Source organism: Homo sapiens, chromosome 2, assembly GCF_000001405.40.
Source record: "Homo sapiens chromosome 2, GRCh38.p14 Primary Assembly".
NCBI classification, from domain to species: domain Eukaryota; kingdom Metazoa; phylum Chordata; class Mammalia; order Primates; family Hominidae; genus Homo; species Homo sapiens.
Window position 1 is genome coordinate 52,900,705 of NC_000002.12, and position 16,921 is coordinate 52,917,625.

General features: G+C 33.7%; 1 long non-coding RNA gene across 4 annotated transcripts in view; it reads right to left on the reverse strand.

Moving 5' to 3' along the window:
* Window positions 1-16,921, reverse strand: part of LOC105369165 (uncharacterized) — a 486,292-nt gene that overhangs the window by 178,029 nt on the left and 291,342 nt on the right. For all 4 annotated transcript variants that reach the window (NR_187747.1, NR_187748.1, NR_187749.1 and 1 more), the window contains exon 2: window positions 9,260-9,320. This is a non-coding gene — a long non-coding RNA (uncharacterized LOC105369165). The remainder of the gene's footprint in view (window positions 1-9,259; window positions 9,321-16,921) is intronic.

Sequence of the window (16,921 nt, forward strand, 5' to 3'; positions counted from 1 at the left end):
TGAAGAATGAATACCATTCCTACTGAAACTATTTCAAAAAGTTAAGGAGGGGGCACTCCTTCCCAACTCATTCTATGAGGCCAGCATTATCCTGATACCAAAACCTCACAGAGACGCAACAACAAAAAATGTCAGGCCAATATCCTTGATGAACATTGATGTAATAATCCTTAGCAAAATACTGGCAAAGCAAATCTAGCAGCACATCAAAAAGCTAATCCACCACAATAAAGTAGGCTTTATCCCTGGCATGCAAGGTTGGTTCAACATACACAAATCAATAACTGTGATTCGTCACATAAACAGAACTAAAAACAAAAAACACATGACCATCCCAATAGATGCAGAAAAGGCTTTTGATAAAATTAAATATCCCTTCATGTTAAAAGTGTTCAATAAGCCAGGCAATGAAGGAACATACCTCAAATCAATAACAGCTATCTATGACAAACCCATGGCCAGCATCATACTGAACAGACAAAAGCTGAAAGTATTCTCTTTGAAAACTGGCACAAGACAAGGATGCCCTCTCTCACCACTCCTGTTCAACACAGTATTGGAAGTCCTGACCAGAACAATCAGGAAAGAGAAAGAAATAAAAGGCATCCAAATAAAAAGAGAAGAAATCAAAGTATCCCTGTTTACAGACAACATGATTCTATATCTAGAAAACCCCATAGCCTCTGCCAAGAAGCTCCTTTAACGGATACACAACTTCAGCAAAGTTTCAGGATACAAAATCAATGTACAAAAACCAGTAGCATTCCTATATGCCAAAAACAACCAAGCTGAAACCAAAATCAGGAATGCAATTCCATTCATAATTGCCACAAAAAGAATGAAATACCTAGGAATACAGTTAACCAGGGAGGTGACAGATCTCCACGATGAAAGTTATAAAATGCTGCTTAAAGAAATCAGAGAAGACATAAATAAATGGAAAAACATTCTATGCTCATGATTAAGAAAAATCAATATTGTTAAAATGCCCATACTGCCCAAAGCAATTTACAGATTCAATGCTATTCCTATCAAACTACCAAAAACAGAAAAAAAATTAAAATATGGAATCAAAAAGGATCCTGACTAATCAAGGCAACACTAAGCAAAAAGAACAAAGCTGGCAGGATCATGTTACTCAACGTGAAACTATGCTACAGGGCTACAGTAACCAAAACTGTATGGTACTGGTACAAAAACAGATGCATAGACCAATAGACCAGAATAGACAGCCAAGAAGTAATCCCACATACCTACAACAAACTGATCTTTGACAAAGCTGACAAAAGCAAGCAATGGTGAAAGGACTACCTATTCAATAAATCATGCTGGGATAACTGACTAGCCATATGCAGAAGACTGAAACTGGACCCCTTCCTTATACCATACACAAAAATAAACTCAAGATGAATTAATGATTTAAATGTAAAACCTAAAACTACCAAAACTTTGGAAGATAACCTAGGGAATACCATTCTGTACATAGGACCTGACGAAGATGTCATGATGAAGAAGCCAAAAGCAATTGCAACAAAAGCAAAAATTGACAAACGAGATCCAATTAAACTAAACAGCTTTTGCACTGCAACAGAAACTATCAACAGAGTAAATAAACAACCTACAGAATGGGCAAAAAATATTTGCAAACTATGCACCCAACAAAGGTCTAGTATCCAGAGTTTATAAGGAATTTAAGCAAATTTACAAGAAAAAATAAAACAACCTCATTAAAAAGTGGTCAAAGGACATGAAGAGGTACTTTTCTAAAGAAGACATACATGCAGCCAACAGCATATAAAAAATGCTCAGCATCACTAATCATTACAGAAATTCAAATCAAAACCACAATAAGGTATCATCTCACAGAAGTCAGAACGGCTATCACTAAAAAGTCAAAAAAATAACAGATGCTGGCGAGGTTATGGAGAAAAGAGAATGCTTATACACGGTTGGTGGCAGTGTAAATTAGTTCAGCCATTATAGAAAGTGGTATGCAGAAATGAACTAAAAGAAGAATTACTATTTGACCAAGCAATCCCATTATTGGGTATATACTAAAGAAAAATAAATCATTCTACCAAAAAGAAACATGCTTGCATGCATATGTAAATTGCAGCACTATTCACAACAGCAAATACATTGAATCAGACTAAATATCCATCACTTAGAGACTGGATAAAGAATATGTGGTACATATACACCATGGAATACTATGCAGCCATAAAAAAGAATGAGATCATGTCCTTTGCGGGGACATGGGTGGAGCTAGAGGCCATTATCCTAAACAAACTAATGAAGGAACAGAAGACCTAATACCACATGTTCTTACTTATAAGTCAGAACTACACTGTGAGGACACATGGACCAAAAGAGGACAACAATGGACACTGTGGCCACCTTGGGGGTGGGGGGTTGGGAGGACGGAGAGATCAGAAAAAAAAAAATACCTGTTAGATACTATCCTTAATACCTGGGTGATGAAATAATCTGTACACCAAACCCCCATGACACAAGTTCACCTATATAAAACCTTGCACATGTACCCCAGAACCTAAAATAAAAGTTTTTTAAAAGCTAGCTTTTTCTACCTATTCTCTATACTTCTACTCCCACAATTCTCTTAATTTATTAAAGTGAAAACTATTTTCCCTATTATACACACATGTTGAAGGACCAGTCATCTAAAATGTTATTTAAAACGTCAAGCTTTTCAGCCTTTATTTGAAATACCACAATTTTTACCAACATGAAATTTCACAAATTCTCTACTATTTGGCTTACCATCGGATTTTAATTCAGTCTATGAATTAAGCAAATGGCACCTGCTAGTACCTACTGTAACTCAATAGAACAGTATCTTGGAGACCAATCAGAGAAGAAGATAGCAGCTCTTCCAGATGTTGGTCCCCAAGGTTCACAGACATCCTGAGCTCATATGCCTCCCCCAGTCACCATTGTATGCCTTTCTCAGCTTTAAGTCTTTATTGGAATAGCTATCCTCTTGTAACTCAATTTTCCCTTTAAGGCTGCCTTTGATCTCCATTTGAAACAATTACTCCCCTGGATACAAATGATAGGTACCCAGAGAAAGACATCTGATCTACACAAAGAATTGCACTCCTTCCACCAATTGTGACAATTCATAAAGATAAATATGCTAATGCCACACTATTTTAGAAAATATTTTTTAATGTTATATATATGCTGTTGAAAATGGTTTGGCAATACATGTTCTAAGAAACAAATGTGGTAAGAATAAAAGATGATTAAAGGTTTGTGTTTATGTGTGGGAGACAGCTGCATCAAACTTTATACAACAAATTATAATAGGTTTGATATTAGGAAGAGTAATTTTCTGGAGTCATAATAAGAGATTTTTCTCAAGACAGACATTTCAAATGAGATAGGACTCTAAACCCTAGGAAAGCTCTAATGGATCCAAATTCTTCCAGCTGAGGGTAGTCTTTTATGTTTCTTATCCCTTTCAAATTGATTCTCCAGTAAGACCTAATGTAATTTTTTAATCCATTTAAAAATGGATACATACTAGAAGCTTAACTTTGCGCAATTTTATTTTCCAATTTCTTAGGAAATAGGTTGGTGCCATGGTGCCTATTCTAAAAGCTCTCTGCTTCTAGTCTCTCCCTGCTCCTGTCTGTCTAGCTAACAGCTGCTGGAAGGAACGAACTTAGTACTTGAATCCTGTCACTTCCCTGTTCTTCATGGGCTAATCTCACAATAAGCCTGGCTTTCTGGCCTGTGGAACTCCACAGCTGGGGCAATTTAACATCCAACTATAGGTTCAGCTACATTCCAGACTTTAAACCAATTCCATGCCAAGATGATTTTTTATAAAACCTCACATGAAAAATATAAAAATATCTCTTCAACAGGACTAGGTTACTGATGTTATTTGGACAGTGAGGACTCCTTAACAAGGCTTTCCACATGCCTTTTATAATCCAGATCATGTTACTGCCTTGCCCTGCACAAAACCTTTGAATCACTCCCCATTGCATTTGAAATTTAACCCAGCCTATTTCTAAGGATTATGAAATGTACTACATGATTTGCCCTTCTGCTTTTGCTCTTTAACCTCATCTCCACACTGCACACAAAAGCTCACCAAACTTGCCAAACTCCTTTCATCCTTCATAGGCATTGTTAGCTCTGCCTGTGCTCTTTTCATGCTTGATTCTTTCTCTTCAAGTCTCATTTTAAAATATCACCACTTGGACTTCTCTTTCTTGGATCACTGTACCTAAAAATGTATCCTCTTTGGTCATATTACTTTCTAGTGAAGTTCCCTTTTTGCTTCCTTTAAATCAGTTACCATTTCAATTTTCAAGTGTATGTTTCATATCATTTGCTGCCTTAACCATTTTATCTTCAGAAACCAGCACATGCCTGAGATCATGTCGAACAGATGAATGAATGAATGAATGAATGAATTCTGAACATCGCAGATGCCAAATATCCACTAACCTAAATATACTGTGCTTCTTCCTCTAAACACGATTTATCTGGTCCATGAAGTTATATTTCTGCCCTATGCAATTAATCATGCCATCAACCTTCAAAACTAAGTCATTATGAGTCTAGCATTTAAGTTCCCATGTTGTCAGACCCCTAAACTCTAATGTCTGTCTTGTTTCCTACTATTTCTCAATATAAACTAGGGAGTCCTTCTGGGTTAGTCCGCTCCTTCATCAACAAACAGGCCTGGTGGTTTTTGACTACTGACTTACCTCACAGAGATAACTTCTGGCCAGAGTGTACTTCCCTCTCTTCTAACTAATGAGCCCACTGATGTAAACCTCAAGTCTCTTCAAAGAAATTCCAAACTAATAAGTGTTTAGTGATCATAGTATTTGTTAACTGTTATGATTTATGTAATGTTGTGCTCCTTTGGATACTTTTCATGTACTACTTTGGATTACTTTATTGTTATTATCTTTTAAAAGTTTACCTTAAAATGTTATTAAAATAGTCATATCTGCATTGTGTCTCCACAGCTACATTGTCACAACTTGAGAATAATCTGTCCTGTTTGTCTTTGTCTCCCTGAAAATGTCTTATACATTGTAGTTTTAAAATATCCAGTGTTTATGTAATTGATTAATTCACATAAAAAACATTCTGGCAGCCTTAACTGAAAAATCTGTTAAGTATGAAAAGAGAACTTTGTCACTTAACACTTGTCATATACAGTCACATTTTGTATTTGGAAATATTTTGGTTGACTCAAAAATTCTAATGTAATATACAAATTGGTTTTATTTGGTACTAAATAGCCTTCACACAGGCTTACACACAGACTTTTCGTTTTGTTTCAGAATGTAGAAAAAATAAATTGCTATGTACTATCACAATTAATGAACTGTAAATGGACACAGGGAGTTATTATTATCTTTTAAATGTTTAACTTAAAGTGTTATTAAAATAGGCATATCTGCATTGTGTCTCCACAGCTACATTGTCACAACTTAAGAATAATCTGTCCTGTTTGTCTTTGTCTCCCTGAAAATGTCTTATACATTGTAGTTTAAAAATATCCAGCCTCCTTCTACTTCCCCTTTCTTCTCTCTTTATCCCCTTTCTTTCTTTCTTTCTTTCTTTATTTCCTTCCTTCTTTCCTTCTTTCCTTCTTTCTTTCTTTCTTTCTAACATTTGACATCCCATGTAACTAACTCTTGCAGAATTAGAACTAAAAATTCTCTGGGAAACACAAATTAATTAATATGAAGCGAAAAGTTTAGAAAAATGAAACAAAAGAATAAGCAATAAGAAGAAAACAAAACAAATAAGTGGAAACAAAAAATGTAGAAGATTAGTAGCACTTGTTACTCCCAGTTTAAACTTGTAGTTTGATGAAAGTGACTTAAAGGTGACCTTTAGAATCACTTAAGTATTTATGTATTTTGATTATTAACAAGCATTTATAAAACAATCATTACTAAGAATAACTGGAGTTGTTTTTTTTTTTCTTATAAATTTGCTTATGTTCCTTCTAGATTCTGGACATTAGCCCTTTGTCAGGTGGATAGATTGCAAAGATTTTCTCCCATTCTGTAGGTCACCTTTTCGCTCTGATGATAGTTTCTTTTGCTGTGAAGAATCTCTTTAGTTTAATTAGATCTCATCTATCAATTCTGGCTTTTGTTGCCATTGCTTTTGGTATTTCAGTCATGAAGTCTTCATCCATGCCTATGTCCTGAATGGTATTGCCCAGGTTTTCTTCTAGCATTTTTATGGTCTTAGGTCTTACACTTAAGTCTTTAATCCATCTTGAGTTAATTTTTATATAAGGTGTAAGGAAGGGGTCCAGTTTCAGTTTTCTGCATATGACCAGCCAGTTTTCCCAACACCATTTATTAGAGAATCCTTTCCCCACTGCTTGTTTTTGTCAGGTTTGTCAAAGACCAGATGGTTGTAGATGTGTGGCATTATTTCTGAGGCCTCTGCTCTGTTCCATTGGTCTATATACCTGTTTTGGTACCAGAATCATGCTGTTTTGGTTACTGCAGCCTTGTAGTATAGTTTGAAGTCACGTAGCATGATGCCTCCAGCTTTGTTCTTTTTGCTTAGAATTGTCTTGGCTCTACTGACTCTTTTTTGGTTCCATATGAAATTTAAAGTAGTTTTTTCTAATTCTGTGAAGAAAGTCAACGTTACCTTGATGGGGATAGCATTGAATCTATAAATCACTTTGGGCAGCATGGCCTTTTTCATGATATTGATTGTTCCTATCCATGAGCATGGAATGTTTTTCCATTTGTTTGTGTCCAAAAAACAAACAACCCCATCAAAAAGTGGACAAAGGACATAAACGAACACTTCTCAAAAGAGGACATTTATGTGGCCAAAAAACATATGAAAAAAAAGCTCATCATCACTGGTCATCAGAGAAATGAAAATCAAAACTACAATGAGATACCATGTCATGCCAGTTAGAATAGCGATCATTAAAAAGTCAGGAAACAACAGATGCTAGAGAGGATGTGGAGAAATAGGAATGCTTTTACACTGTTGGAGGGAGTGTAAATTAATTCATCCATTGTGGAAGATGGTGTGGCGATTTCTCAAGGATCTAGAACCAGAGATACCATTTGACCCAATAATCTCATTACTCGGTATATACCCAAAGGATTATAAATCATTCTACTCTAAAGACACATGCACACGTATGTTTATTGCAGCACTATTCACCATAGCAAAGACTTGGAACCAACCCAAATGCCCATCAATGATAGACTGGATAAAGAAAATGTGGCACATATACACCATGGAATACTGTGCAGCCATAAAAAAGGATGAGTTCATGTCCTTTGCAGAGACATGGATGAAACTGGAAACCATCATTCTCAGAAAACTAACACAGGAACAGAAAACTAAACACCACAGGTTCTCACTCATAAGTGGGAGTTGAACAATGAGAAGACATGGACACAGGGAGGGGAACATCACACACCAGGGCCTGTTGGGGGTGGGGGGTAAGGGAGGGATAGCATTAGGAGAAATACCTAATGCAGATGACAGGTTGATGGATGCAGCAAACCACCATGACACGTGTATACCTATATAATAAACCTGCACATTCTGTGCATGTATCCCAGAACTTAAAGTATAGTAAAAAAACTAAAAATTAACAAAAAGAATAACTGGGAAAAAACATTAAAAGTTTATGATGGAACTTCACTTCCAATAATGGTGGAACAACAGAGACCATATTTATCTTCAATCTTGTTTTTGCTCGTTTATTTGGTTTTATCCTTACTGCTTATCCTTTTGTTTCATCCCGAAATGATAAAACTGTTTCCAAGTAACTTAACCACATCTCAGAAAAAAGCTATAGACTATTCACAGGAATACAAAAATATTCAGCACCCAAAAATATAAAATTAAGATTTTGGTGTCATATCAAAAATTATTAGATATTCAAAGGATTAGAAAACTACAACCAACAGTGAGGAGAAAAATTCATCGAATGAAGCCAATATGGAACTCATAAATATTGTACAATTAGTAGACAAGGATATGAAAACTCTTGTAACTATATTCTTTATATTCAAAAAACTGGAGAAAAGGATAGAAATGTTTTATAGAGGCAAGAATAATATAAAAACAGAACAAAATTTAACTTCCAGAGATGAAAAATGAAATGTCTAGTTGAAAGATACACTGGTTGAGATAAATAATATATCAGACATTAGAATAACGTATTTGAAAAGACAGCAATAAAAACTTTCGAAAATAAAACAGAGAGAAGAAAGACTTAAAGACAACACTAGAGAGCTGTGAAACAAATTGAAGCAGTCTAATGTATGTGTAATTGTAGTTCTTGATGAAGATAATAGAGGGAATGGGAAATGAAAAATATTTTAAAAAATAAAATTTCAAAATTTATGAAAATTATAAGCCCACAGATCCAAGAAGCTTGTTAAACATTAGCATTGACCATATATTTATCAACAGAAACAATGCAAATGAGAATACAGTAGAGTAACATCTTAAAGCACTGAAAGAAAAAAACTCAGCAACATAGAATTATATACCCAACAAAACTATTTTTTGAAATGAAGGTGAAAGAAGACTTTTTTAGAAATACAAAAGGTAAAAGAATTTATCAGCATAAGACTGAAGAAATCTTACAAGAAACCCTTAAGATGAAAGAAAGATCATACCAGATGGAACTTCGGGTTGCACCGAGAATAGAGTATTGGAAATGGTAACTGGGTAGGCAAATGCATATGATTTTTTCTCATTATTGAAATCTCTTTAAAGGATAACAGATTGTTTAAACAAAATTATAACAATGTAGTGTGGACTTTATACTATGTGCAGAAATAAAATGTATAATAATAACATACAGGCCCAGAGGGGAGAAACGGAAGTATATTATTACAAGGTTCTTATACTACATGTGAATTTGTATGTCACTTTAAGGTAGACTATATTATTACATATGTACACTGTAAACATAAAAGCAATAATCAAAAATAACAAAATAATTGATTGAAGCTAAAAAGCTATTAGAGGAGATAAGAAGGAATAACCATAATCTTATAAGTAATTCAAAGAAGGCAAAAAAATGAGAAAATGTAAGGCGAGAACGAATAAAACAAATATAATATTAATTGCAAGATAAATTTTAATTTTAAATAACATTAAATGTAATAGATTTAAAATTCCAATTAAAAGGCAGAGATTATCAGATTTGATTTTTTCAAAAAAAAAAGGCACAACTTAATATACCTACCTCAGATGTTTATGTACCTAGTAACAAAGGTCCAAAATTTTTGAAGCGAAATCTGATAGAACTGCAAGGAAAAAAAGACAAATCTACAATTATTGTTTGAAATTTCAAGAAAACATAGGCATAAATATTTGTGACCTTGGCTTAGAAAAATATTTCTTACGTATAATACATAAAATAAAAAATATGATAAATTTGACTTTATAAAACTTAAATAAAAGAATCTCTGAAAGAAACTATTGAAAGAATGAAGTGACAATCCTTAGAAAAGGAGAAGAAAATTTTTACGAATCACATATCTGACAAAGGATTCATATTCAGAGTATCTAAATCACTCTCAAAATCTGATAACAAGAAAATAAATCATTTTTCAACCGAGCAAAATATTTGAATAGACATTTCAGCAAAAAAAGATAAACAGCAAAAAGCACATAAGATGCTCAACAATATTAATTATTAAGGAGATATAAATTAAAACCACAGTGAGATAGTGCGACACACCTATTAGTATGGCTAACTCTAAATATTGACCAAAGAAGGTTTGTGTGGATGTGAAAGATCTATCAGTGCTATACACTGCTAGTGAAAATGTAAAATAGTACAGCCACTTTAAAACCCGTTGGACAGGTTCTTAATAAATTAAATATATTCCTATCTAATGATCCAGCCATTATGCTTTTAGGTATTTACCCAAAAGAATGAAACTGTATGTACATGAAAGTTTTTGGCAGTCATATTTGCAATACTCCAAGCTGGAAACAACATAAATGTCCATTAATAAGTAGAATGGACAAATTTAGTATACTCATACAATGAAGTCGACTCAGCAATACAAAGCAGTAAACTACTGAAACATGCAACAACATGGAGTGAAAGAAACTAGACTACATCCCCCCACAAAACAAAGAGAGAATATACTGTAATTTGATGCATGGAAAACTTATAGATCATTGCTCCAATCTGAAACCTTACTTCCCCAGAAATGATCACCAGTGCTTCAGAAAATAGCTAAACTCTTTAGAGGTTAAAACAAGAAATAAAACATAGATCTCCTTATTACTAAGTCAGTGTTTATATTAATTCAGTAGATGCTCTGTATTGTTTAACATTTCATTTCTGAGGAAATTTCATACTATTATGTAACTTTTTAGATTCCCTCTGTGAAAAATGTATGTCTTCATGGCTACTCATAGGAGGTTAAAAATAATGGTACTTTTAGCTAACATAAATGTCACAAAGTTTTTAGTACAAGAATAATATGTTGAATCTATCATAGTTATGCCCATTTGAATTAAGAATAATATGGAATTGCATACAACCCATTGAAACGACATTCTAACACAAAAGTTACACAAATAAATATAATGAAAGACAGAAAACCATGAATAACCAACAGAAGTGGAAGTAATTATCAGAGTTTAAAAGAGGGACAGAGAATTTTAAGTTGGAGAAAGTAAGAATGATTGAATGCAAGAGATATTTCATACTGGCCTATATAGTATATTTAAATACTTTATTTAAAAAATATGACATACTATTATGAGAAAACCTGGAAAAGAAGTAGAAAGAAACATACCTGAATACTCACTGCATAGTCATATTAGTGATTTCTCTGTAGTTTCTTGTTATACAATTGTTTTTACATTATTAGAGAATTAAGAGGCATATACTGGTAATTACAAATAAGATATAATTTCTGAAAGTAAAGTTAATGTATAGCATGCTTATTGTACAACATTCAGAAAAATGCAGAAATTAAACAGTATAAAAAGTATCCCAAATCTCCATCTACACAATAATATCAGGTAACATTTTGGTATATATTGCCATATTTTTTATTTCCTGTATTTTCTAACAAATTTGTTAAATGCATTATCTTGTATTAGATATATTAACATATACATAATTAGCAAAGAAGCATTCACTGGTGAAGGAGAACATTTAAAAAGGCTTACTGATAACATCTTAAATCTGAAATCACTTGGATTGTTCCAATATTATAATTTGTATTAACTTATATTACGTACTGAATACTCAACTTGTGCAGCCACTATTCTAAATGCTTTATATATAAACTAATTAAATTATTATAAATGTTAATAGATCAGAAAACTATGGCATAAAGATGGATAAAACTATATTCGTATTCCTTGGTAATAAAAATGTTAAATATATATGTTTATGCAATTTTACTTCATGAAAGGGCATTATTGGATTTATCCATTTTATGACAAAATAGACACAATTTTTCATTTTTATGATCCTATTGTGTAAATAGTTTAGACTTTTGGGGGGTGAGACAGAATATTTCTAGTCATTGTTTTAAATGATTATCAAATATAGGAAGAAATTCCACCTGAATTGTGTTGATAAATGGTTAAGAATGATAGGTAATTTGTATTATGGTTATCTCCAGTGCTCATTAAAAGGTGATATTCAGAATATTTCTCATTATTAGTGAATACGAGAAGATTCCATACTGGGCTATCAAATCACACTAGGTTTTGGGAAATTATTCAAGGTACATTCTAAAACCCATAAACTCACCACCTTACCATAGAAAATGCTAACGCTAATGCATTACCATTGCTCAGGACAGAGAATCAGGGCATGTACTATAGGCTTTTACCAAACAGAAAGTTCCAACTCTTCCAACTCCTCTACTTTGTACCCAATGGTTACCTGGTTTTAGTTTACCTCTGAAAGTTTGGCAAGTAGAACAAGGAAGTAAAATAATTAATGCTATTCATTATTCTACTTTCTTTTCTATTTTGCCTATTACTTTTCGTTTCATTCTATTGTAAACGTTTTCTTCTTAATATCTTCTTTCCTTATGGTTATTTATGCCTTATTTTAACTTCCATGCCTTCTGTTTTCTGATCAGAGTTCCATACAAGTGTCTAAATAAGTCTTCTGATTTCTGTGATTGTTTTCAAAGTTCAGCGCTTGTACTCTAAGGCCTTTGTTTCCTTTAGAATTCTTCAAGCTAGTGCTATTTTCTTTTGTTGTATACTTGTGTTTGTTTATTTGCTTTAATTTTTAATTGGCACATAATAATTGTACATATTTATGGGGTGCAGAATATTTTGGTACCTGTATACGATGTGTATGATCAAATCAGGGTAAGTTAGCATCTTCATCACCTATTTGTGCTTGGAACATTCAAAATGCTACCCTACAGATACTCAAAAATATACAATAAATTACTGCTACTATAGTCACCCCACAGTGCTATATTCTTTCTATCTAGAATTTATTCTTCCTATGTAGCTATAATTTCGTATCTGTCAACCAACTTCTCCCTATACTCCCCATTCCCCTACCCTCTTTAGCCTTTAGCAACCACTATTCTACTCTCTACTTCTATGAGATCATCTTTTTGAGACTGTAAGACATTATATTAAATGAAACAAACCAGGCACAGAAAGATAAATATTGCATGTTTTTATTCATATATTCTGTAATATTTTTATTGATTTTATTGGTTCAACTTTATTTACACATTTTTGAGAAGGTAGGTCTATAGATCTTGTGATTGGACCCCTACATTACCACATGAATATGAGGATAGTAAACTCTCACATCATCTTTCTTTCACTTACAGAGGATAATCTGGACACCCTGCACCTAAGGATGCATTTTGATCAATAGATGTAAAAAGCATTATTTCAAAATTTCGACTGTTTATCTGTGTAACCAGAGTATATCTACCAAAGGCAGAAAATGCTGTCATTTAAAATAGGATTGTTAAACATCCCCATTTCATAAGCACCCATGGACCTCTGGATAGAGTATAAAGGCAGATATTGACTAGGAGGCATAATGATGTAAGGTGTTATCACTTTTGCAAGGGTATAGGCATATTTTGTTAAACTTAGAGAATGATTTTTAATATTTATCCAGACACTGTGATTTTCTTTAAACTAAGATTTGTTCTTTGGAGAGAGAGTGTATGTGTGTGGGCACACACGCCAGGTATGTTGCTATGTTGCTGCGTGTATATCTGTGTGTGTGGCAGCATGCACACATGCAGTCATAAGTGAGGTCTGTGTTTCAGACGTTCATTAGCTGATGAACATTCATTACATGCCAAACAGCATATCTGTACTTTACACTAGTAGTGAATATGGATGGACTTGGACTATCAAAGCCTCCCTGAAATTCCACAGGTGCTCCTCCTCCATTTTCTATATATTTTTGCTACACCAAATGCTAATTTTACAAAATGAGCTGTTAGGTGTTATTTTGTCTTAGACATTGCATTTGAAATAGTAGATGGCATCAAGCCTTAAGAGCAAGATATTAGGAGGTGGTAAAGACTAACCCTGAAAAAGTTTGAAGAAGGAAGTCCTCAGAGACCAGAGGACACACACTAATGACTGAATATGTCTATACAGGGCATGCTTTCATGCTGTGTTTAAAATATGTTGTGCTTTCCTTAGTGATAGAATTTTTAAAATTTCCCCTCTATCTTGTATTATAATTCATTTTGTTTACTTTCAGTCCTACAATAGAATTTAATATGCCTACTCCCTTATATACAAGAATGGTTAAAAAATTAAGGAGAATAGGAAAGGTTAAGAATGGCTCCCCTGACTTTCATGCACCTGCTGAGGTTCATGTAGAGATACCACCGCTGTATCATGCCCAGGTGTTCCAGGTTGTGATTTGCAATAAAATTCACTTGTAGTGAAGGGCTACACAGGAGATTTTTGGGTAATGAGGCAAAGGTAATATCATGAGCCACCAGGTAAGCAACAAGGCCATGCTTTCATAAATATACTAAAACTAGGTAACCATTTGGTACAAAGTGGAGGAGTGGCAAGAGCTGGAACTTTCTCTTTGGTAAGAGCCTACAGTACATGCCCATATGATCTGTCCTGAGTGATGCTAATGCATTAGCATTAGCATTTTCTATAGTAAGATGGTAAGTTTATGGGTATTAGAATGCGTCTTGAATAATTTCCCAATACCTAGTGTGGCTTTGCTACATCAGTATGGAATCTTCTGCTCTTCCAGGTGAATGGCTTCTTAATAGTCTCAGTGGACCCAATCTATTAAAACTAAAATCTTGAGAATATTCTTCTACCAATGTTCTTCCTATCTTAGTTATGGCAGATCTTAACTTGAGAGGATAGTCACAGATCAGCAGATGGAGACTAAGATCAGTCCCTACTTCCAATTTTCTGCTACTGTTTTTTTTTTCTAGAAGTATGATATCCAAATGATTATAAGTGTAGAGAAAGGCTACTTTGGCTGTGTTAAAAAGAACCTTCAGGGAACAGAAGGATGATAGCTGACTTTCCAGTCTGTTACAGACCTTATTTTGCTGGACAAAGACAGGTTTACTCAGTACAACTGTAGCAGAGTCTACTAATTGTTGCCATTGCCCTTCCATTGGTCTTGAATTTAGTGAAATTCTTTTCCTGATTTGGAGGGTGGCTCAAATGTTATTCCTAATTTGGAAGGGCTGATTATGTTTTTATCTTTTTTCAAAATTAGAAAGCTGTGAGAATATTACACGTAAGATGGAATACGAACCTATGCTAGAACTTCAGGAAAGTGAACAGAAGCAGGCAGATGGGGTAGAAATATAATTTAACAAATGGAAAAGCAGAATCTATGAGACTTAATATGTATCAGATATAACCATGAATGCCCAAAAATAAAAATTTAAAAAGGAAAAATGCCACCATGATTTCAAGCCTAAGAATCTGAGATAAATCTGATTGCCATTAATGGAATAAGAAAGTCAAGAAGATTTGTTTCGGAAGTAAGCAAGAAATAATAAAGCTGTAAAAAATGATTTTGTAAAGCTAATTCTAAATTATCTGCAAATTATTCCAAAGTCAGAGTAAGGTAGAAGATTTTTTACTATAATAACTAACCTCATTGGGCTGTAGTTGCTTCAAAACTATGGAATTAAGGAATAATGTAAAGCTATATATATTAGTTCAATCTGTCATCCCTATTTCTAAACTATTTCTATATTATTTTGTAAATACAATGGAAACATTCAACCAAAGAGCAAAACTGGACAAATCTCCACCTGGCATCCTTCCTTAAGTCCACATTGCTTTAGATAGATATTTGACAAAGCCCCAAGCAATAGAGGTCATGCCACCAAATGTGAAAGAACCTCACTTCCTTTCTATATTTTCCCATTGTTCTTATGTGGTAGAATTCATGTATGTTCCAAGTATTATTTTGTTATGATCTTCTTGTAGTAAAACAACTACTTGCTAGGAAAGTCATCTTTAAAACATTTGGATATGCATAAAAATATTACAAACCCAGTTTTAGAGAAAAGTACACATGTGATTTTCCAAGGTATATTTCTGGGTAACCTGTGGCTGAATTTTGAGAAATCCAGGCAAAATAATGCTGTACTGCTGTAAAAATTATCTAATATTTTAAAAGCAGGAATCACCAGCAGATTGCTATTTAAAAGAGCCATTCTAGGATTCAGCAATATTGATACCATGTCTAATTCTGCAGTCTTCTTAAGAGTGAAGTAACTTATAGAGCTAAGACATTACTTTCTTGATATCACTTCTTTGGTAATACAATATGGTCAATTTTCGCAAAAGTATTTATATTCCCTTTTAAAAATAAAGTATAGGAAAGAAATTCAACGGAATGAAGACATATTTATGCCAACAGAAATGTTTTTCAATGGAGCCATCAAAGATAGTACAATATTTAGGAGAACTTTACTGTTAAAAAATTATTCATTTAAAATAATCATCTGACAGTCTTCAAATCAGAATACCTATGTTTAAACTATTGCTTTATGTTTTTGGGATACTTTTATTTAGCTTCTTGGAATCTTAGTTTTCTCAGGCATAAAATGAAAACTATATAAACTTGTTCACTGTACTTTCATATATAGCCCAAATTCATTGAATCGGCCTCTTTTTCCACTCTTATCTAGTCTCTACAGCACCATTATATTTTGTGTGGATTCCCATGATAGCTTCTTAACTAGTATCTCTGCTTCTGTATTTGCCATGTCTGTTCCTTTCCTGCAGTTTCCACCTTCTATATAGCAGCCAGTATGAATTTTTCAAAAATACAAATGAGATCCATTCCCTTCCCTGTGCAAACCATCCAATCGTTTTGCATTACATTTAAACTGACTCTCCTTGCTCTGACTTACTATCTGACCTTACTCTGACTTACCTCTCTGACCTTATCACTTAACTATGCTTCAACCACACAGGTTGAAGCATTCAACCTGTTCCTGGTATTACTTCCAGTTCCTGGAATTTCATTCTTATTCTAGGGTCGTGGCACATAATATTCTTCCTGCTTGGAGTGCTCTTGGAGTGTTTCCAAGTCTGGCTTTTTCGCAGCTCAACTATCACCTCCTCCATATGCCTTTCCATACTCCTCAATCTGTAATCAACTTTAGCTTTCTTCAACTCCAGGAATTACCTAACATGTTACTTTGTATTTTTTTCTTTATAAAACTTACCATAACCTAAAAATGTTAACATGTTCGTTTGCTTGTTTATTGATTGTTTCTTTCCACTGGAACCTAACTCCTTCTGAACAACTATCTTATCTAGCTTATTTAAGTAGCTATTTATGGAATAATCTACACTCCCAGAATCTAGAGCAGAGGCATAAACATAATATATGCTGAAAAAATATCTGTTAAAT